Source organism: Homo sapiens, chromosome 19 (genome assembly GCF_000001405.40).
Source record: "Homo sapiens chromosome 19, GRCh38.p14 Primary Assembly".
In the NCBI taxonomy this organism is placed as follows: Eukaryota; Metazoa; Chordata; class Mammalia; order Primates; family Hominidae; genus Homo; species Homo sapiens.
Genome location: NC_000019.10, coordinates 38,492,723 through 38,514,614, shown reverse-complemented (window position 1 = coordinate 38,514,614; position 21,892 = coordinate 38,492,723). Strand labels below are relative to the sequence as shown.

Here is a 21,892-nt window from a genome sequence, read left to right as displayed (position 1 = left end):
TCTTTTTCATTTTATTTAAAATGTATATATTTTTAGGGTTGGCGCAGAGGCTCATGCCTGTAATCCCAGCACTTTGGAGGCTGAGGTGGACGGATCACCTGAGGTCAGGAGTTCGAGACCAGCCTGGGCAACATGGTGAAACCCCATCTCTACTAAAAATACAAAAATTATCTGAGTGTGTTGGTGAATGCCTGTAATCCCAGCTACTCGGGGGGCTGAGGCAGGAGAATCACTTGAACCCGGGAGGCAGAGGTTGCAGTGAGCTGAGATTGCGCCACTGCACTCCAGCCTGGGTGACAGACCGAGACTCTGTCTCAAAAAAAAAAAAAAAATTAAAAAAAAATTTTTTTAGAGATGGGGTCTCAGTATGTTGCCCAGGCTGATCTCAAACTCCTGGTCTCAAGTGATTTGCCCACCTCGGCCTCCCAAAGTGCTGGGATTACAGGTGCGAGCCACTGTGCCCAGACCAATTTTAGGTTAACCACATGCCCTCCAGAAGGCCAAGTTAAGAAGCTCATCATGAGGCAAAAAGAGGGCGGGGCTATTCTAGACTTTAAAGACACTACAGAGACACAACCACCAAATGCAGCAGGAGAAACTTGACTGGATTCTGAATTTCTTTTAAAAAAATCAAAGACATTTTGTGGGTAATGAGGGAAATTTAAATATGGTTAGGTTAGGTATGATAATGATACCGTGGTTACACAAGAGAAGGTTCCTATTCTAGGAAAGCCAGCTGATGAACATTAAGGGATGAGGTTACCCTGGTGTGTGCAACTTACACCCAAAAGTTCAACAAAAAAAACTAAATACTTTCAACCATACAGTGAAGGGTAGGCACACAGGGCAAATTGTTAACAATTTTCTTTTTTTTTTTTTGAGATGGAGTCTTGCTCTGTCGCCCAAGCTGGAGTGCAGTGGTGCAATCTCAGCTCACTGCAACCTCCACCTCCCAGATTCAAGCAGTTCTTGTGCCTCAGCCTCCCAAGTAGCTGGGACTACAGGCGTGAGCCACCATGCCCCGCCAACAATTTTCTTCTTTCTACCTTCCTGTATGTTTTGAAAATTTCAAAATACAAAGTTGGATGGGAGAAGAACCCTATCCAGGTGCTACTTTTCTTTTCTTCTTTTTTTTAAGATGGGGTTTTGCTATGTTGCCCAGGTTGGTCTTGAAATCCTGGGCTCAAGAGATCTTCCTACCTTGGCCTCCCAAAGTGCTGGAATTACAGATATGAGTCACTGTGGCTGGCCACCAACTGCTACTTTTCTTTTCTTTTTGAGATGGAGTCTCGCTCTGTTGCCCAGGCTGGCGTGCAATGGCACGATCTTGGTGCACTGCAACCTTCGCCTCCTGGGTTCAAGCAATTCTCCTGCCTCAGCCTCCCAGGTAGCTAGGATTATAGGCGACCACCACCATGCCCGGCTAATTTTTGTATTTTAGTAGAGACAAGGTTTCATCATGTTGGCCAGGCTGGTCTTGAACTCCTGAGCTCAGGTGATCTGTCCGCCTTGGCCTCCCAAAGTGCTGGGATTACAGGCGTGAGCCACTGCGCTCGGCCAAGTGCTACTTTTCCTAACCTTTATCAATAGACTCTCTTTTTTAACATCAAGGACCCTATTTTATTATTTATTTATTTTAGAGACAGAATTTTGCTCTGTTGTCCAGGCTGGAGTGCAGTGGTATGATCATAGCTCATTGCAGCCTCCAACTCTTGGACTCAAGTGATCCTCCCTTGTCAGCCTCCCCAGTAGCTGGGATTACAGGCATGTGCCTCCATGCCTGGCTAATCTTTAAATTTTTCTTTTTTTTTTTAGTAGAGACAGGGTCTCGCTATGTTGCCCAAGCTGGTCTTGAACTCCTGAGCTCAAGCGGTCCTCCTGCCTCAGCCTCCCAAAGTGCTGGAATTACAGGTGTGAGTCACTGCGCCAGTCCACTTAGGGTCTTTTGTTAGAGCTGCTGAGCTCGCGTCCTCATTAACTCATTTGCCACCTGCCAAGGTACTGACTGCATGCTTTGCTTACAGCAAGAAATCCACACATTCAAACACCCAGGGACTCTCACAGGCACCCGGATGGGTGGTGTTGGCCACACTGACTCCCCGCAACCTGCCCTTGGGTCAGGCGCCCTTACGGATGACGTCATCTCCGAACTGGTGCTGGGCGATGTGCTGGAAGAGGGTGGTGAGGACCGGCAGCAGTGCCACAGTGGTGTAGGTGAGGTTCTGGCCCACGCCTTTCACCTGGGTGCGCGCCTGCGACACCTTGCCCAGCCGCAGGTTCTCCACCATCTTCTCGATGTCCTCCGAGGCACTCTCGAAGAAGGAGCGGAGGCCAGCCTTCACGATCTCAGGGCCTGACTTCATCACTGTCCTAGAAGGGCAGCGGGGGAACATCAGCTCTGGAATCGGAGAGTCTAGGAGACCAGGGGTTGGGGTGGGGGCCCGATGATGGTGGGAGTGGGCGCCACTGCCTATGGCCCTACCTGGCATCCAGGGAGCGGGCCAGGATGTGAAGACAGTTGACCACAGCTGGGGCGTCTGTCCCTGGGAGAGGAAGATGGGCCGGGGGGATGCCATGGCTAAGAGGACAGAGGACAGTGCCTCCCTCTACATCCACCCCAACCGCTCTCTTCCTGAGGCTACCTGCGGGCTAAGTTGGAATGCTACTGCACCCCCACCCCCCCAGACTCCTACAGCGCCTCCAAATGTCCCTCCTCCCCAGCCCAACCACTCTCCTGGCCTTCCTCCTGCCCAGCCCTGACCCCACTGGGCTGTCCTTGTCTGGAGATAGGTCTGTCTCTCCCACTGGCCTGGGAGCTCCATTGAGGGCAGGCCCAGGGCATCTCAGTCACTGCCCTACCCCCCGGATACCTGGTCCATGTCTCCAGGTCCAGGGGAAGAAAACAACAAAGGTTGTTCAAATTAAGGCAGAACCTGGGAGCTATTTCTTCAGGGTGGGGAAGAGAAAGATTAGGGAGGAAGACCGAAGGTGTGGAGCCACTTACCAAAGAGAGAGACTCGGTGGCGGACGAGAGCAGCAAGTTTGCAGAAGAGGCTGAAGAAAGAGAAAGGGACAGAAGGCAGGAGAAACAGCGAGTGAGGAGGCCAAGGAGACGAGGACAGCGTGACCCAATTAGAGGAGACAGGGACAGAGAAGACAAGGAGAGAGGAACCAGGAGGGGGTCCAAATGATGGAGACAGGAGGGATGGGAAGGGGCAGAGAGATGGGCAAGCTGGAATGTCACAGGCAGTAACTGGGATGCTGGGGAGGTGAGGGGTGAGTCAGCCTTTCTTATTATTCTTTGTTTGTTTATTTTTTTTAGACAGGGTCTTGCTCTGTCACCCAGGCTGGAGTACAGTGGCACGATCCCAGCTCCCTGCAGCCTCCAACTCCTGGGTTCAAGTGATCCTCCCGCCTCAGCCTCCTGAGTAGCTGGGACTACAGGCATGCACCACCAAGCCCGGCTAATTTTTGTATTTTTTGTAGAAATGGGGTCTCAGTATGTTGCCCAGGCTGGCCTCAAACTCCTGGCTTCAAGTGATCTTCCCACCTCAGCTTCCCAAAGTGTTGGAATTACAGGCATGAGCCACCACGCCCGGCCTTGAGTTGGCCTTCCTGGACAGGGTGATCGATTTGTCCCAAGTTGCCTGAGAGTCCCACATCCTGGGAAACCCTTCAGTCCCGGGTACACTAGGATGGCTGGTCACCCTTCAATCGCCTTTGCAGGAGACGGTCAGTACCCAACACCCAGCACCCAGGACAGAGCCTCCATGGGCAAAGGATTACAATCCTGTGAGGTCAGGGGGCTGGGTCCAGGGTCACAGGCGGCCCACCTGGTGATCATTTCCTTCTCCTTGTTAGAGGCGTGGCCACCGCTGCCCAGCACTTTAGCCGGAGTGGACAAGAAATAGAGGCAGTGGTTGGTGAAGTACTGGTTGATCAAAGGGAGCAGGATCTGGAGACGGGTTGGGGGAGATAAAGGGTCCAATGAGGGGTGGGGAGAGCCTATGAGTCCCCAGCGCCCTCCAGCTTCTAAGCCCACCTCTCACCTTGGCAAAGAATTTAATCTCCTGTTCATGTGGGGACTTTTCCACTCGCCCACTGCTGACCACAGCCTCTGTAGGGAGGGCAAATAGGGTTCACAGTGGGTTCAAGGCTGGGGAACCCAGGGTGTTCTGATGGGAAGGATGCTGGGAGCAGAGTTGGGAAATGATGGGGGATAAAGTATTGGTATGAAGTCATTTGTGTTGGCTTTGAGATAAACCTTTCTCCTATCTTTCATCTGATTCCCCCAACTCCTTTTTTTTTTCTTGTCACCCAGACAGGAGTGCAATGGCACGATCTCGGCTCACTGCACTCTCTGCCTCCTGAGTTCAAGCGATTCTCCTGACTCAGCCTCCCAAGTAGCTGGGATTACAGACATGCTCCCACACACCAAGCTAATTTTTGTATTTTTAGTACAGCCAAGGTTTCACCATGTTGTCCAGGCTGGTCTCAAACTTCTGACCTCAGGTGATCCACCCGCCTCAACCTCCCAATGTGCTTTCCCCCAACTTCTTGATCAAATCCTTCTTGAAGCTGACAACTCCTTGATCAAACCCTTTCTGAAGCTGACAATGGGGAAAACAAACTGGAATGGGTTAAGGTCATGGAACATGCCCTTCCTCACCCACCATAAGTGCTTTTCATTCTAAACTTGAATACATGGCACTGAGTTAATCTGCAATAAATGAATGAATGAACCAAATGAAACAAGAAGTCAATGTAAACAAATTAGAGTTAATTTCAAAATGGAAATAAATTTCAAACAATAATAATGGTGACAGTCATAACTGATACTATTAAAATAATAATACTGGGCCGGGCGCAGTGGCTCACGCCTGTAATCCCAGCACTTTGGGAAGCCGAGGCGGGTGGATCACGAGGTCAGGAGATCGAGACCATCCTGGCCAACATGGTGAAACCCCATCTCTACTAAAAATACAAACACAAAAAATTAACCGGGCATGGTGGCAGGCGCCTGTAGTCCCAGCTACTCGGGAGGCTGAGGCAGGAGAATGGCGTGAATCTGGAGGCGGAGCCTGCAGTGAGCTGAGATCGCGCCACTGCAGTCCAACCTGGGTGACAGAGCAAGACTCCGTCTCAAAAAAAAAAAAAAAAAAAATAATAATAATAATAATAATACTGGCTCCAATTATTAAACACTTGCTATGTCCTTGGCACTGTGAGACATGTCATCCTCACACAGTCTCCTTACAACTTGGAGGTCTGTGCAGTTGGTTCCCAACCCCCATTTTTCAGATGAGGAAACTCAGGTGAAGTAACTAACCCCAGGTCACCCAGTAAGTAACAGAACCATGGCTAGTTATGGTGAACATATGCCCATATCACAGGTGAGGAAACTGAGGTCTAGAGAGGGAAGGGAATTGTCAGGGGGATGTGCAGCACTGAAGCTCAGCAGGCAGGCTTTGAGGTGAGACGTGACAGCGAATCCTGCTCTGCCACTCACCTGGAGGGAATTTGGGGGTTCCTGAGGGTAGCTCTCAAGGGGAATGCTGGGGGGGGTCTCTAAGGGAAACTGGAGGGGATTGTAGGGCCTAGCTGTAATTCTTAGTGGCCTGTAAGAGGCACTGGGGGGCACCCCAGCAGCCTCAGCCTTCAAAATAGATCCAGAAATCTGCCCAGTTCTCACCCTTTTCGGCTCCTGTCCCCACCCCAGTCAAGCCAGAGGGACCCTGTGAACACCAGAATTATGGATCACGTCCCTCCTCGGCTCAGCCCCCAACCCCCAACTCCATCTCATTCCAGGTAAGGTCAAAGTCCTCATCACAGCTTGCAAAGCCCTGCATGATCTGCCCCAGTCACCTCTGTGACCTCGTTTATCTCACCGTCCCCCTCGATGACTCTGCTTCAGCTACAGGGCATCCTGACACTCACACCAGGGACCTCTCAGGGCCTTTGCACTCGCTGTTCCTTTGCCTGCAAGGAACAGATGCCCCCAGAGGTCCACACAGCTCCTCTCTGACCTCCTTCATGGCTTGCCTCAGATATCACATTCTCATCAAAGTCTTTCTGGAACACCCTATTTAAAATTACAACTGGCAAGCCGGGTGCGGTGGCTCACGCCTTTAATCCCAGCACTTTGGGAGGCCGAGGCGGCAGATCACGAGGTCGAGAGATCGAGACCATCCTGGCCAACATGGTGAAACCCCGTCTCTACTAAAAAATACAAAAAATTAGCTGGGTGTGGCGGCGCCCGTGCCTGTGGTCCCAGCTACTCAGGAGGCTGAGGCAGGAGAATCGCTTGAAACCAGAAAGCAGAGGTTGCAGTGAGCCGAGACCGTGCCACTGCACTCCAGCCTGGGCAGCAAGATCGAAACTCTGTCTCAAAAATAAATAAATAAATAAAATAAAAAATAAAAATAAAATAAAATGAAATAAAATAAAATTACAACTGGCTCCACACTCCCAATCCCCTCTACCTGGCTCTATTGTTTTCTTCTTCCCATAACACTGATCACCTTCTAACACTAAACGATTTAGTTATTTATGATGCTAATTGCCTGAATCCAACATAGGAGTAGTTGCAGGAGAGCAGGGGTCATTTGTCATCTTCACTGCTGTACCCCAGCATCTAGAACAGTGTCTGGCACATAGTAGAAGCTCAATAAACATCAGATAAGGGGAGGACGGATTGAGTGCATGAACAGGTGTCCTAGGTGAGTCTGGTCTGCAGAACTGGTGTCTGCAGGTGGGGCGGGCATAAGCGGGGGGTATTTCTCCGTACCCAGGTGGGCAATGAACTCCTGAGAAATGTCCATCCAGCGCAGCAGCTGCTGCAGGAAGCCAAAGGCAAACCGCTTTTCAATGGAAGACGAGTCCAGTTCCATGTCCTTAAGGCCTCTGCATGGAGATGTGGAGAGAAGGATCAGCCCAGACGCCGGCCCTACAGTTTCCCACCCTTCTCAGGTCCGCCTCTGCTCCTGCTGGCCCCGTCTCTATCAGCTTTGGCTTCACCCCAGGTTGGGGCTCCACTCTGAGTCCCCCATGCCCCACCCCACTTAGCCTTCTCCCCTCTCTGGCCCCACCTCTGTTCCCCAGGGCCGGCCCCTCTCAGCCTCCTCCCCTTTGGCCCCACCTCTGTTCCCCGGGCCCTGCCCTTCTCAGCCCTTCTCTCCTCTTTGGTCCCGCCTCCACTCACCAGTCCCCGCCCCTCTGTACCTCCCCACCCCTCTCTGGCCCCGCCTGTGCTCCCCAGCCCCCGCCCCTCTCAGCCTCTTCCTCTTTGGCCCTACCTCTGTTCCCCGGGCCCCACCCTTTTCAGCCTTCTCTCCTCTTTGGTCCCGCCTCCAATCACCGGTCCCCGCCCCTCTCAGTCTCCTCCACTCTCTGGCCCCGCCTCTGCTCCCTGGGCCCCGCCCTTCTCTTCCTCCTCTCCTCTCTGGTCCCGCCTGTGCTTAAGCCCCGCCCATTTCGAACTCCTCCCCATCTGGCCCCGCCTCTGTGTCCAGGCCCCACTCCCTTAGCTCCTCCCCTCTGGTTCCATCTTTGCTCCTCAGGCCCCGTTCCTCTCGGCTCCACCCCTCTCTGGCCCCGCCCCTTCCAGCCTTTGCCGGGTGTGTTCTGCCTGCTGCTCTTCCGCGGGAGCCCCAACCCGCGTGCCTTGTAACCGCGTAGCCATTCATCTGCAGGAATTTCAGTAGCTCCTGGGCCTTCTCTCGATCTCGTGCCTTCTCCTTGGCCGTGAGCGTGTCGTAGGGGACCAGCAGGGGGTGGGTCCCACCGCCTGGGGAGGCAAAGACCAGAAATCAGGGCTCTGGGGAAGACCCGGGCCACTCTCACTGAAGTGGTTCCTGCAGTGCCCGGCATGCGTAATTATGGTGATAAAGAAGATACGAATAACGGAAACATTGCTTGCTGGTGCTCATCTCATTACCCCATGGTGGTAAACGCTGTTATTATTCCCATCTACAGATGGAGAAACCGAGTTTCAGGGGCATGAAGGCAATCAGCAAAACCACACGGTGAATCCACGGGGGTAGCGTGGGGGCGGCATGGGCGCCCTCACCTTTGGCTTCCAGCTCCTGCTTCTTCTTCCGTCCCCACGTGTTGTGGTAATTTTCTGCCAGTTGTTCTGCCATGGCCTGGGAGTGGATGCAGAGTCAAGGGCTAGATTCAGAGGATGCCAGCCCCCCCAAAGACACCCTATGTCCCCCCAAAAGGATCAGGGCTCTCACCTGCAGCTCCCGGGACAGGGTAACAGCACTAAGGTCGGGGGGCTGAGGGTTGTAGCCTTCTCGAGGATCATAGGTCTGAGAGGACAAGGGGAAGATGGGAGGTGGGCTGATGGGCTAGCAGGAAGCCCAGGCCAGCCCCTCCCCAGGCCCCACTAGTCCATTCTACCCCCTCCACCCTCCCCTGGCTCAAGACCCCTTGTCCTTTCCTTAAGGCCCTGTCTCTAAACCACCCCATCCTTCTCTCCTCTGCCCTTTGCAGTTCTTCAGACCCCTGCCCTCTCCTTTCCCAGATCTCAGGTTTCTGCACCCCTCTTGCCCCACCTACCTCCCTGGGCCCCTCTCCTCTCCATCCCTTCCCTGTCTGGCCATGCCCCTTGTTCTAGACCCTCCCCCCATCGTGCCCCTGCCCTCCACCCAGGCCCCGCCTTCACCTGGGCACTTTGTGATATCTTCCGCGTTTTTTTCTTTTCCGTCTTCTCCTCCTCACCCTCCCTGGCCTTCTCTATCGTCCATTCCCAGGCAATCATGGCCTTCAGGGACTCCTTGATGGGCCAGCGGTAAATCTCTTTGTCCTGGGGTGGACAGGAGGGTGGGGAGTTGGTGGAATGGGATGAGAGAGGGGTGGAGGAAGGACCCCAAAGGAGAAAACCCTGACCATGTGGCTAGGCAATGGTCCAGTCTGGATTCCAACTCAAGTCTCTTACCTGCTCTGTAACAGAGCCTCCCAAACCCAATCTCCTTATCCCATTAGACACTTGAGTCTCCGAGAAGTCTTACTACAGCCAAGGAATCAAACCCACTCTCTCGGAGTCTCTACCCACTCTACCAAGTTTGAGAGAAGGCAAAGTCCATGAATGGGGAGACCTAACCCACAGATCCACCTAGATGCAAACATGTGAAATTGCCTCACTCCTCCCCGAATCCTCAAATTTGGGGGTTTCATTTTGACCCTCAATGCTGGGCCCCAAGGCCTGGTCACCTTCTCTGAAAAGGTCTTGTAGGGCCTCAGCATGGGGTGGGTCTTCAGCTCCTCGTCTATGTTCTCTCCATAGGACCAGTTGTTCTGGATCTAGAGATGGAGGGGAGGCAGGGTGAGGGGGAGGCAGCAGTTGGGGACACACGGGGCGACCCTGGAGGAGCCGAGGACAGAGAATCCTGGGGGGGTCCCAGAACAAGCTAAGGGTCTTAGGGAAGGCTGGGGGGTCTCAGGGAGATCTGGGGCCTCAGGGAAGAACCAGGTCGGGGGGAAAGCTGGGGTCTTGAGGGTTTCTTGGATAGGAGGACCCTGAGGCCAACCTTGTCGAAGGCCCACTTCTCGTGTGTGTACTCCGCAAACTTGTTAATGAAGGAGTCCAGCTTCTCCGGGATGATCACACTGTTGGGGGCACAGGGTCAGCAGATGTTGGAGCTGGGGTTCCCTCCACCCCTGAAATCTTCCTCTCTGTCTCCCAGCCCCCAGGCCTCACTTGAGGGTCTCCACAGGCCGGGGATCAAAGTTGCCTTCAGCATCCACTGTGGCCTTTTTCTCTGCCTTAGATGAGTATGAGGCATCCACATAGTCGGGGGGCAGAGCCCCGGCAATGGCGCACAGACAAGGCATGGCCATGCGGTACAGCTCCGGGTCGTATTTCTGGGAAAACCGGGTGAAGCAGGGGTAGGAGGTCGCTATAAGCCTTACTGACCCCCAGGACCTCAAACTCACACACTGCAATCATCAGCCCTCCTCCCTGAACCCCAAACCTGAATTATGGTCCCTCTCCTTGAAACCCAAATGTCAGTCCCAATTGTATGCTCAAATCATCCCCATATTGCCCTCTCCAAGCTCCCAAACTAGAGGTCCACCCCCTCTTTCATAACCTCCAAATCGAAGCCTCAACCCATAGATCCTCCTAGATCCAAACTTGCAGAACCTTCTCCTCCTTGAACCCCCCAAAATTGAGGGATTTCACTCTGGACCCCCAATTTTGGGCCCCAAACCCTCCACATAGGCCATTTTGGGGCTCCCTGCTGCCCAGACCTTATGGGCCAGAGAGTCAAAGATGCCCCAGAAGAGTTTCCGTGTGAGGTGCAGCTCCTCCTCTGAGGTGACCCCGAAGTTGGCCCAGCCCGTGGGTAGGCAGTAGTACTTCCAACAGCGCTCATAGTGGTTGGTGAGGAGCTGGGTGGGAACAAGAGGGGGACACACAAATGAGGGGGGCACCAGCGAATGGCAGGCAGACGAAGGCCCAGAGAGACACAGGCATGCCAGTGCTTTTAAATTATGAAGGAGGTGTGGGTTATGCAAATGATATGCTAATAAGGGAAGAAATGGTATGTTTATTGAGGAGTGGTCCTAGACAGCTTAGTATGCAAATTTAGCATTCTTAATTTAGAGTTAAAATGGGCATTAAACTAGAGCTGGTTGTGTCTGGTATTGCTTTACACAAATAAGCGTGCTAATATTAATCCATGGGTATGTAGTGAGTAAATGGGCATATGGATGCAGCAATCTGTGCTTATGTAAATTAACATACCAAGTAGAAACAAAGGCTGCACCCCATGCAAATATATGGTAATTGGGAAGAGGGCCTCCACTATCCAAAATGCAAATTTTTTTTTTTTTTTTGAGGTGGAGTCTCACTCTCTTGACCAGGCTGGAGTGCAGTGGCACGATCTCGGCTCACTGCAACCTCCGCCTCCCAGGTTCAAGAAATTCTCCAGCCTCAGCCTCCAGAGTAGCTGGGATTACAGGCGTGCTCCACTATGCCTGGCTTATTTTTGTAGTTTTAGTAGAGATGGGGTTTCGCCATGTTGGCCAGGCTGGTCTCGAACTCCTGACCTCAAGTGATCTGCCCACCTCGGCCTCCCAAAGTGCTGGGATTACAGGCGTGAGCCACCGCGCCTGGCTAAAATGCAAATTTGAAATAGGAGCTGATTTCGATGTATTATGCAAAATAGTCAAAATATCTGAGTTGGGGGTATCTCTTTATGCAAATTAGCATGCAAATGAAAAAATAAGAGAGACAGTGTGCAAATATTCAGAATAGCTGTGATAATGTTTATTCAAATAAATGCACTCATTTGAATAGTGGAAGTCTGGTGGTCCAGGCATGCAAATAAACATGCTAATTAGGGAAAGTGGTGTGCTCCATGCAAATATATGCTAATTGAAGCGGGGGCTGGCTCACTGTTAAGCAAATTAAATGCTAATTAGGGAACGCTAGAGGCATCAATGAAGCAAAGTGAATGTTCTGGGAATCCTAGTATGCAAATAAGGATGCTAAGAGATTTCTACGGGGACGCTGCCCTAACTAGTGCAGGTTTATTGGGCTGGGCAGTGCCGACACAAATGAGCCCCGCAGTAGGAGGGAAGAGCAAACCAGTGGGTGCGGCCTGGAAATGAGATGCTAAAGAGCGCTTGCCCTCACCTTGAGTGGCATCTTGGCGAACTCGTTGAGGATGGGCACGTCGAACACCAGGCGGCGCAACAGGTGCTGCAGCATCGACGGGCGGATGTACCTGCGGGACAATGCACAAGATGTAGAATCCCCCGTCCAGGCCCGCTCTGCTGCCCCTGCCCCTGCTCCTCCCCCTGCCCCTGCCCCTGCCCCTGCCCCTGCCCCTGCCCCTGCCCCTGCCCCTGCCCCACCCTGAAGCCTGCCCCGCTCCACCTGCAGAGCGACATGAGGCAGTCCTCGATGACGTCACGCTGCGCCTTGGTGAGCGAACGACCCCGAGACAGGCGGTACACGGTATGCAGCATAGAGTCCACCATGATGGCGCGGTGTTCTGTGCCCGCAAAGAGCGGCGCACACTTGGTGATGAGCGGCAGCACGGCCAGGCACAGGTAGCGGTTCAGCGCCAGCGCCATCTCGGTGGTGCTGAAAGTGGCCTAGGGCGCAGGGTGAGGACATCAGGCCCGCTGCACACCCCTGGGGCTGCTCTGGCACCTGTCTTGAGCGACTGTGGCCAAAGGATCCAAGCTTCTGATGACTCCCCCAAAACCTGCTCCTCCCAATCTCTACCACCCTCCTCCCACCCTATGCCCACACCCCTATGCCCACAGCCCCCACCCCACCACTTACTACTTTGGATTATGCAAAATTTCAAACACACACAACTGGTCGATGAGATTAATGAACCCCATTACAGATTTGGCTCTTCTGTAAATATCAATGGTCTGCACGCTTATCTCCTCTCTAACCCTCATCTTTCTTCCTGTAATACATTCTTTTTCATCTGTTAGAGACAGGGGTCTCTGTCGCCCAGGCTGGAGTGCAGTGGTGCAATCATAGCTCCCTGCAGCCTCGAATTCCTGGGCTCAAGTGATCCTCCTGCCTCAGCCTCCCTAGTAGCTAGGACTACAGGGACGCACCTCCATGCCTGGCTAATTTATTTTTCTTTTTTTTTTCTGAGATAAGGTCTCGCTCTGTCGCCCAGGCTGGAATGCAGAGATGTAATCATGGTTCACTGCAGCCTCAATGTCTGTCCCTCAAGTGATTCTCCCACCTCAGCCTCTCTAGTAGAGGGGACTACAGGTGTGCAGCACCATGCCCAGCTAATATTTAAATTTTTTTTGTAGAGACAGGATCTCTCCATGTTGCCCAGGCTGGTCTCAAAATCCTGGCTTCAAGCAACCCACCCGCCTCGGCCTCCCAAAGTTATTACAGGGGTGAGCCACCATGCACAGCCCCAGGCTCTCTTAAACCCCCTCTCGGAAGGCTTCTGTCCCCTGCTGAAACTGCTCATCCCCATTTCCAGTGACCTTGACTTTGCCAAATCGGTGGTCACTTCTCAGTGCTCATCTTCCTTGCCCTGTCACCCTTCTGTTATTGCTGTTCCTGTACAGAGTTCTGTGTGCCCACAGTACCAAACCAATACTGCGAACAAAATATTTTTTTTGAGATGGAGTCTCGCTCCATTGCCAGGCGGGAGTGCAGCGGCACGATCTCGGCTCACTGCAACCTCCGCCTCCCCGGTTCAAGTGATTCTCCTGCCTCAGCCTCCTGAGTAGCTGGGATTACAAGTGTGCGCCACCACGTCTGGCTAATTTTTGTACTTTTAGTAGAGATGCGGTTTCACCATGTTGGTCAGGCTGGTCTCGAACTCCTGACCTTGTGATCCGCTCGCCTCGGCTCCCCAAAGTGCTGGGATTACAGGCGCGAGTCACCACGCCTGACCTCAAATGATGATTTCTTATAACTGGAGGTCTTGGAGATTCCTACTCACCCTTCATCGGAATTCAGTGTTTCTTCGTTTTCATTTTCTATCTTGATGATGGTATTGGGGATTATGATATGTCCACAATCCCAAGAAAAACAAAAGCAGCTGCTGCTGCTCTACCGTGACCCATCTCCTGTCCCTCTGTGGAAGTGGGGAGGGTGGCCAGGCTGGGCAGGGTTGCTCACCGTGTCCAGCGAGGCGGCTGCCCTCATGTCGGGCAGGAACCCCACGTCCAGCACGTGCAGCAAGAAGTCCTGGTTCTCGATGCCATACACACGGTCCAGGAAGAGCACCATGGACGCCTTGTGGTCCGGCACGAAGGATGCTGACATCTTTGGCTGCACCAGAGCCCCATCTGCAGGCAGGGAGGGTGGGTTCGGGGATGCCCTGCGGACCCAGCCGCTCCCTCCCCAGCATCACTCCTTCGCCAAGTTCCATCCCCTCTGCACCTTTGCCCAGGGTGGGAATCTGCAGTGGGAGGCTGATGATGCCCACAAGGTCCTCCAAGGGCACAAGGGAGCGGAGGATGGCGCGGATCCGCAGGGCCTCACCCTTGCCGGCTTGGATTAGCTGGGGAGTAGAGGGAGGGAGAGGGGCACTCATCAGGCGCTGGTGCCCCACTCAGTGACTGCTCTGCTCCCTCCCTTACCACACAGGAGGGTAGAGCAGGCCTCTTTCTCAGGAGGCTGTCTAGAGTTTCCAGCCCTCGTTCCTCTGCCTGTGCCCCCCCACCCCAGTCCCGACCTCTCTCCTTGTTCCCCCCAACCTCATCCTGACCCCTCTCCCTGCGACCCCTCATCCTGGCCCCGACCCCTATCCCTGTGACCCCATCCCCATCCTGACCCCTCTCCCTGTGTTCCCCATCCCCATCCTGAGTCCTCTCCGTGTGCCCTGCAATCCCAGCCCCGACCCCTCTTCCTGTGCTCCCCCATCCCAGCCCTGACCACTCTGGGTGTCACTGTCCGTCTCCCCCATTGGACTGGGAGCTCTGTGAGACCAGGCCCTGGGGCTGTCTTGGTCACTGTTGTGTCCCCAACATTGCTAGTCCAGGACCACCCACATATGGGAGCTCACTCCGTGTCACCGAGTGCCTGCATGAGGCGTTCAAAGCGGCTGTGCCTGCCCTCCCTTCCCATCCTGCCCTGGCTCAGGGTCTCACATGCATCTCTGGTGCACAGCGTCCGAGCAGGTCGATCAAGGCGGCATAGAAGGACATGATGGCGTGTCCCAGGTGCACCCGGTTTTCTTCAGGCGGTTCCTCACCAAAGCTGCAGGGAAGGTGGGTGGGTTGGGGAGGCAGCCAGGGGCCAGGGAGGGCGGGTTGCCCTATTGAGGAGGGGGCCGGGAGACTCACTGCTCGCGCCGCCGGTCCCTGCGGATGCCTGGGCCATCCCTCGCAGGGTCCTCGGAGATGCGGATGGCCTCTTCGATGGCAGCCAGCAGCCCTGAGCCACCCTCACCCCGCAGGGCGGGTCCGAAGCACTCAGGCTTCCGGATGAGCAGCCGCACCACCACATTGGCGTTCTCCTCCACGCTCTCGCCTGGCCACCCGCATGGGGAAAGGGGGTCTCATGAGCCACCATCAGAGACCTCCCCATGCAGCCCCAGGACCCAACACCTCCAGGGGTAACACAGGTCCCATCCAGCTCCAGGACCCAACACCTCCAGAGGTAACACCAGGCCCCTGCCAGCCCCAGGACCCAACACCTCTAGGGGTAACACCAGGCTCCCGCCAGCCCCAGGATCCAACACTGCCAGCCACAGGACCCAACACCTCCAGGGGTAACACAGGCCCCTGCCAGCCCCAGGCCTGCTGGAAGGGATTCCTGCCTGGACCCCATCTGTGGCTCAGGGTGCGAGCAGTCATCTCGAGGGAGGTGTGTGACCAGTGACTCCATACTTCCCGCTCTGCCACTGCCACCCCCTCCTCACCGTTGACGAAGACAGCAAAGCGCAGGAAGTCCAGGTAGCGCTCTCCACCACAGGGGTTCCAGCCAATGTCTGGGTACCCTTTGGCCACAAGCATGGGGCAGCTCTGGAGGCCACAGCCTGCCAGGTAGGACACAACCTGGGGGCAGAAGGGGCTCAGTCAGAGACCAGACCCATGCCACCTTCCTCCTGGGGCTCAGCCCTCTGCCCTGCCCTGCCCTGCCCTGCGGCTCCTCAGTCCGGTTCAGCTCTGATCCCTCGGCCCATTAGCCCTGGTCCTGTCAGAGGCCTGTAAACTACAGCAACTCCATCTTGAACAGGAGCTTGAGACCTACTGGGCTGCATTCCCAGATGGTTAAGGCATTCTAAGTCACAGAACAAGATAGAAGGTTGGCACAAGATACAGGTCATAAAGTCCTTGCTGATAAAATAGGCTGCAGTAAAGAAGCCGGCCAAAACCCACCAAAACCAAGATGGCAACGAGAGTGACCTCTGGTCATCCTCACTGCTGCACTCCCACCAGCGCCACGACAGTTTACAAATGTCATGGCAATATCAGAAAGTTACCCTACATGGTTTAGAAAGGGGAGGCATGAATAATCCACCCCTTGTTATGCTAAACAGCATATCATCAAGAAATAACATAAAAATGGGCAACCAGCAGCCCTTGGGGCTGCTCTGTCTATGGATTAGCCATTCTTTTATTCCTTTACTTTCCTAATAAACTTGCTTTCACTTTACTCTATGGAGTTGCCCTGAATTCTTTCTTACATGAGATCCAAGAACCTTCTCTTTGGGCCTGGATCCAGACCCCTTTCCTGTAGCGGTTCTGTCCACCCTTGTCTCCCACCTGGACCACAACACGAGCCTCCTCCCTGTCCTTCTGTCCTTCTGCCTTCCCCTCAATCTGTTCCCCACACACAGCCAGAGGGACCCTGTGAACACCTGAGTCAGGTCACGTCCCTCCTCTGCTCAGAATCCTGGCCTCCTCTCACTCAGGGTAAAAGCCAGAGCCCTTGTTGTGACCGATGAGATGCCACATGACCCACCTGTCACCTCCTGCCCTCACCCTCACTACCTCTGCTCCAGCCACAGCTGTCTTTCTGCTGTTCCTCCAGCTTATGAGGTTTGCTCCTGCCTCAGGGCCTTTGCACTGGCTGTTCCCGCTGCCTAGAATGCTCTTCCCCATGATGACCACCTGACCTGTCACCTTCCTTCAGAGCTTTACACAAATGTCACTTTCTCAATGAGGCTTTCTCTGGCCACTTTTTTTTTTAAGGGGTCTCGCTCTGTCCCTGAGGTGAAGTGCAGTGGTGTGACCATAGCTCACTGCAGCCTCAGCCTCGCAGGCTCTATCAAATCCTCCCACCTTAGCCTCCTGAGTAGCTGGGACTACAGTTACGTGCCACTACACCCACCTACTTTTTGTATTTTTTGTAGAGACAAGGTGTCCCTATATTGTCCAGGCTGGTCTTAAACTCCTGAGCTTAAGTGATCCTCCTGCCTCGGCCTCCCAAAGTGCTGGGATTATAGATGTAAGCCACTTTGCCTGGCCAGACAGGGATTTTTGACTGTCATATTGCTACTGCTTTGCATATGGTAAGCTAACACTACATATTTGTTGAATGATAATATAACAGCAGCTAACGTTACTGACTGCCCCTTTACAAACACTTTACTGGATTAATTCATTTAATCCTCAGAATGACTCCATGAAGTCGTTTCTATGACTACATTCATTGTACAGATGAGACAACAGGGGTCTGGAGAGTCTAAGTCACTTATCCAAGGCCACACAGCCAGGGAGCGAGGGGAGCAGAAGCAAAGTTGCTGAAGTCTGGAGCCCACGCATTTCACCACTGTACACAGAAGTGGAAGCTCGGAGAGCGAAGAAATGTGCCAAGGCCACCTGGCTGGAAGCCTAGACTGTGGATCGGCCCCCAACCCGGAAGCGTAGCGTGCGGATCCGCCCCCAGCCCGGAAGTGTAGACTGCGGATCCGCCCCCAGCCTGGAAGTTAGAGTGCGGATCCGCCCCCATCCCGGAAGCGTAGACTGTGGACCTGCCCCCAGACGGGAAGCGTGGAGTGCGGACCGGCCCACAGCCAGGAAGCATCCCATGAATGAACAACTGGGTGCCGTTCTCTCCCTGCAAATTAGTCTCCTTCTGGTTGGGCACTGGACCATCCAGAATTGCCCCCCAGAATGAGTTTGGAATCAGCAGGTGTCCCAAGCAGCCGGGTAGCGGCCCGATTTCCTCCCTTAGGCCTGGGGCCCAGCCCTGCCCTCCACACCTTTTCCAGGTCCTGCTCCTGCAATGCCAAGGCCAGCTCATTGTTGTCAATGACGGAGGCAGCAGCCACGTCCAGGGGCGTGGAGCCCTGCATGCCTGCAGGGGCGAGAGGTGGGGAGAACATCTCACTCCTGCTTGTCTCGCCTCCTCTGGGAAGCCCTCCCTGACCACCCTTTTTCCAGCCTGGATCAGGTGCCTCCTCTGGTCTGTACTTCCCTCATCCAAGCTCTGACCACTCTGGGCTGTCACTATTGGGGTCACTATTGTGTCCCCAGCATTACTCATTACAGGGCCAGAACCACAGTTGAGAGGGAGTGTTTGTTGAATGAGTGAGCTGGTGGAAAGTGGGGCAGGCCTGGACGGGGTGCCAGGAGTGGGTTCTGGGGGACAGCCCCTGGGCTCGGGGGTTCTCACCCAGGCCGATGCCACTGTTCTCCAGCAGGTAGCTCAGGTGGTCAAACATGGAGCGCTGGTTCTGCCGGCTGATTCGGCAGAAATAGCAGAGGAAGCGGCAGCAGCTTGTCACCATCTTGGGGAAGCGGATCTCCTGGGACAGGCAGGGTGGTCAGGGCCTGCCCTCTGTGGCTGCCTCCCCTGAGCTCCCCAGCACCTGCCTGGGCCCTCACCTTGGACTCGCCGCCCCCGAGGACGTTGACCATGACCTCCATGACCGTCTCGTGCATGCCCAGCGCCCTCATCAGGTTCGGGTGTTGGTAGAAGACTTTGTTGTTCATGATGTTCCTGTGCACGGGCAGAGTGTGCGGGGTCACCAGGGGCCCAGGTCCGGAGAGGGCCATAGCCACCACTGTGACAGCGTTGGCATTCTTGACCCTCTCACTCTGTGCCTAGCACCACCGCCTTTACAGATCTGAACTCACTCAATTCCTACAGCTGGCCGGGTGCGGTGGCTCATGCGTGTAATCCCAGCACTTTGGGAGGCCGAAGCTAGAGGATCACTTGAGGTCAGGAGATCGAGATCAGCCTGGCCAACATGGTGAAACCCCATTTCTACTAAAAATACAAAAATTAGCCAGGCGTGGTGGCGCATACCCGTAATCCCAGCTACGCAGGAGGCTGAGGTGGGAGAATCGCTTGAACCCGGTATGCGGAGGTTGCAGTGAGCAGACATTGCGCACTCCAGGCTTGGCAACAGAGCAAGACTCCATCTCAAAAAATAAAAAAAAAAAATTCCTACAGCCACTGTGGGAGGAAGGGTCCCTGTTTCCCTCATAAGGAGACTGAGGCGTGCACCCAAGGCAGGCTCCTCTAGGGCAGAGATCTTTGCCATGTTGCCCTTTGTCAAATGTTGTCCCAGCATGGTGGCTTTTGCCTTGTAATTCCAGCCCTTTGGGAGGCCAAGGCAGGAGGATCACTTGAGCCCAGGAGTCCAAGACCAGCCTGGGCAACATAGCAAGACCCTACCTCTACAAAAAAATTTACAAATTAGCTGGGTATGGTGGTGTGTGTCTGTAGTCCCAGCTACTCAGGAGACTGAGGCAGGAGGATCGCTTGAGCCCAGGAAGTTGAGGCTGCAGTGAGCTGTGATTGGGCCACTGCACTCTAGCCTGGGCAACAGAGTGAGGCCCTGTCTCAAAAACACCTAGAAATGCCTGGCACGAAGTAGGTGCTTAATAAATGTTTACTGTGTGAATGAGATTTATTTGACAATGAGTGCTCAATACTGCTACCATAATTATTATTATTCGCATGAGCTCACTGAAGCCACAGCACAACCCTTCAGAGTAGGCTTGGCTCTCCCCGGTTTTACAGATGAGGAAACTGAAGCTCAAAAAGGGTAAACCTCAGCTGGGTGTGGTGGCTCACGTCTCTAATCCCAGCACTTTGGGAGGCCGAGGCGGGTGGATCACCTGAGGTTAGGAGTTCGAGACTAGTCTGATCAACATGGTGAAACCCTGTCTCTACTAAATATAAAAAATTAGCCTGGTATGGTGGTGCGTGCCTGTAATCCCAGCTACTTGGGAGGCTGAGACAGGAGAATTGCTTGAACCTGGGAGGCGGAGGTTGCAGTGAGCTGAGATTGCGCCATTGCACTCCAGCCTGGGTGACAGAGTGAGACTCAGTCTCACAAAAAAAAAAAAAAAGGGGGGGGTGGGGAATGTCCTGCTGAGAGTCACACAGAAGCGGAGCTGCTACCACTGAGGGCGGAGAGGTAAGGGAAGGAGACATTACCCAGGAGGTGAGCTAGCCATCGAGAGACTGAGATCACCCAGAGGATGGGCCAGAAGTTGGGGAAGGGAATGTTATTGTATCCTGAGGGTATTCATTACCCAAGGGGATATGCAAAGTAAGGGGGAAGGGCGGTGTCTCACCCGATGCTCTGGATCATGAGGTTCTCCTCCTGGGGGCCCATCTGCACGATGAGCAGCGAGCGGATCTGGCCGAGGCACTCGAGCAGGCTCATGGTGTCTTCCACGGAGGACGGTGAGATGGTGTACGCCCGCGGCAGGGCACGCAGCAGCTCACCCAGCCCGTCGTACTGCCGGTGCAGGAGGCTGAACATGGCCCGCACCAGCTCGGGGCTCTGCACGAAGTCCTCTTGGGCCCAGCGCACCACCATGTGGGACACCAGCTCCTGCAGGGACCCTGGGAAGGAGACAATGCAAGGCTTGGAGCACCATGCAGGGCAGGTCGGCACATGGGGCCTTGGACCAGAACAATGTGGAAGGGGCCCCCTGTTCCAGAAGTTTTCCCAGTTACTACCACCTGCGCCCTCCACCTGCTGGGAGCAGGCAGATTCTAGCAGATTGTTTTCCTTTTTTTCTTTTAGAGACAGTGTCTTGCTCTGTTGCCCAGGCTAGGGTGCTGTGGGGCTATCACAGCTCACTTCAGCCTCGAACTCCCGGGCTCAAGTGATCCTCCTACTGTGGCCTCCCAAAGGGCTAGGGTTATAGGTGTGAGCCACTGTGCCCAGCCTGGCAAACTTTTTTCTATTCGCCCAAGAATCTCTCTGTTCTGTTCACCCTAATATCCAGCCCACAAGGGCTTCCTAAAAATTTCAATAGGAATAATAAACTGTACAACTGCAAGATACCAGAGCCGACCAGAAGCACTTCGCCATGCACCTTTGAAGGCACATGTCACAATCCCACTTGTTCTATAAAAATACTGTGGATTTGGCTGGGTGCGGTGGCTCACAGCCGTAATCCCTGCACTTTGGGAGGCTGAGGCGGGTGGATCACCTGAGGTCAGGAGTTTGAGACCAGCCTGGCCAACATGGTGAAGCCCCGTCTCTACTAAAAATACAAAAATTAGCCAGGCATGGTGCTGCGCGCCTGTAGTCCCAGCTACTCTGGAGGCTGAAGCAGGAGAATCGCTTGAACCCAGGAGGCGGAGGTTGCAGTGAGCCAAGATCGCGCCACTGCACTCTATCTAGCCTGGGCGACGCAGTGAGACCCTGCCTCAAAAAAAAAAAAAAAAACGAAAAAGAAAAAGAAAAAATCTAAACTCGTGGGCAGGGGCTTTGACTTTCCCCCCTCGGCTGTATTTCCCAGCCCTGGTAACAGTGCCTGGCCCATAGTTGGCCCCATAAAAGTTTCCTGAATGTTGTGGGATAAAACCTGTACCAACGTCAGGAAATCTGTCCTTGTTAGATGTGGCTAATATACAGTTTGCAAAATAACACATTGGCCCAACATTAATGATAGCTGCTTGTCTAATCCCTCAGCATGGTAATCCTCTCATCAAGAAAGAAAAGAGAAGCCCCAAGGCCACGGAAGCCACAGTGGTTCAGGGTTACCGCCATCCCTTAGTTAGAGGTTTGCCACTAAGCTGGTAGGCTGTGTCACCCTGGTCCAACACACACGTTCTACAGCCCCCATCTCTGGAGGCAAACCTCCAGCATGCATCTTTGTTTTTGTTTTTTTTTTGAGACAGAGTCTCGCTCTGTCACCCAGGCTGGAGTGCAGTGGCGCAATCTGGGCTCACTGCAACCCCCACCTCCTGCATTCAAGCAATTCTCGTGCCTCAGTCTCCAAGTAGCTGGGATTACAGGCATGCACCGCCACACCCAGCTAATTTTTGTATTTTTAGTGGAGAAGGGGGTTTCACCATGTTGGCCGGGCTGGTCTCCAAATCCTGACCTCAAGTGATCCACCCGCCTCAGCCTCCCAAAGTGCTGGGATTACAGGCGTGAGCCACCACGCCTGCTTCCACTTTGCCCGCCACTCTTCCCCTCTCACTCCTGCCTATCTACCCCTCCCTTGCATCTGTCCT

At 54.1% G+C, this 21,892-nt stretch overlaps 1 protein-coding gene across 6 annotated transcripts in view, besides 5 other annotated features; it reads right to left on the bottom strand.

Annotated features, from left to right (window-relative positions):
* The window catches only part of RYR1 (ryanodine receptor 1), a 153,874-nt gene that overhangs the window by 72,950 nt on the left and 59,032 nt on the right, over positions 1-21,892 (bottom strand). For 5 of the 6 annotated variants that reach the window (NM_000540.3, XM_011527205.3, XM_006723317.3 and 2 more), the window contains exons 39-63: positions 19,990-20,263; positions 18,286-18,400; positions 18,074-18,206; positions 17,661-17,755; positions 15,372-15,507; positions 14,794-14,980; positions 14,599-14,707; positions 13,889-14,009; positions 13,625-13,794; positions 11,888-12,108; positions 11,645-11,735; positions 10,255-10,395; positions 9,704-9,867; positions 9,534-9,612; positions 9,217-9,306; positions 8,669-8,809; positions 8,238-8,312; positions 8,069-8,144; positions 7,663-7,786; positions 6,788-6,903; positions 4,050-4,117; positions 3,834-3,955; positions 3,005-3,054; positions 2,483-2,543; positions 2,132-2,370 (exon numbers count right to left, since the gene is read on the bottom strand). In NM_000540.3, the coding sequence (NP_000531.2) occupies positions 2,132-2,370; positions 2,483-2,543; positions 3,005-3,054; positions 3,834-3,955; positions 4,050-4,117; positions 6,788-6,903; positions 7,663-7,786; positions 8,069-8,144; positions 8,238-8,312; positions 8,669-8,809; positions 9,217-9,306; positions 9,534-9,612; positions 9,704-9,867; positions 10,255-10,395; positions 11,645-11,735; positions 11,888-12,108; positions 13,625-13,794; positions 13,889-14,009; positions 14,599-14,707; positions 14,794-14,980; positions 15,372-15,507; positions 17,661-17,755; positions 18,074-18,206; positions 18,286-18,400; positions 19,990-20,263 (3,198 nt within the window). Of the gene's footprint in view, positions 1-2,131; positions 2,371-2,482; positions 2,544-3,004; positions 3,055-3,833; positions 3,956-4,049; positions 4,118-6,787; positions 6,904-7,662; positions 7,787-8,068; positions 8,145-8,237; positions 8,313-8,668; positions 8,810-9,216; positions 9,307-9,533; positions 9,613-9,703; positions 9,868-10,254; positions 10,396-11,644; positions 11,736-11,887; positions 12,109-13,624; positions 13,795-13,888; positions 14,010-14,598; positions 14,708-14,793; positions 14,981-15,371; positions 15,508-17,660; positions 17,756-18,073; positions 18,207-18,285; positions 18,401-19,989; positions 20,264-21,892 lie in introns of those variants that run through there. The other variant, XM_047439202.1, reaches the window with a different exon arrangement.
* Positions 1,138-1,227: an enhancer, noted in NCBI's record as "active region_14573". NCBI's record gives its function as "activates an Ori minimal core promoter by ATAC-STARR-seq in GM12878 lymphoblastoid cells {active_cell/tissue: GM12878}" and the evidence as "EXISTENCE:reporter gene assay evidence [ECO:0000049][PMID:35858748]".
* Positions 1,238-1,287: an enhancer, noted in NCBI's record as "active region_14572". NCBI's record gives its function as "activates an Ori minimal core promoter by ATAC-STARR-seq in GM12878 lymphoblastoid cells {active_cell/tissue: GM12878}" and the evidence as "EXISTENCE:reporter gene assay evidence [ECO:0000049][PMID:35858748]".
* Positions 7,185-7,314: a silencer, noted in NCBI's record as "silent region_10576". NCBI's record gives its function as "represses an Ori minimal core promoter by ATAC-STARR-seq in GM12878 lymphoblastoid cells {active_cell/tissue: GM12878}" and the evidence as "EXISTENCE:reporter gene assay evidence [ECO:0000049][PMID:35858748]".
* Positions 8,226-9,425: an enhancer, noted in NCBI's record as "BRD4-independent group 4 enhancer chr19:38995830-38997029 (GRCh37/hg19 assembly coordinates)". NCBI's record gives its function as "activates an origin of replication core promoter dependent on BRD2, P300/CBP, MED14 and CDK7 cofactors, and independent of BRD4, by STARR-seq in HCT116 cells {active_cell/tissue: HCT116}" and the evidence as "EXISTENCE:reporter gene assay evidence [ECO:0000049][PMID:35650434]".
* Positions 17,889-18,780: an enhancer, noted in NCBI's record as "H3K4me1 hESC enhancer chr19:38986475-38987366 (GRCh37/hg19 assembly coordinates)". NCBI's record gives its function as "activates a minimal SCP1, AML or CMV promoter by ChIP-STARR-seq in primed H9 embryonic stem cells {active_cell/tissue: H9 hESC(primed)}" and the evidence as "EXISTENCE:reporter gene assay evidence [ECO:0000049][PMID:30033119]".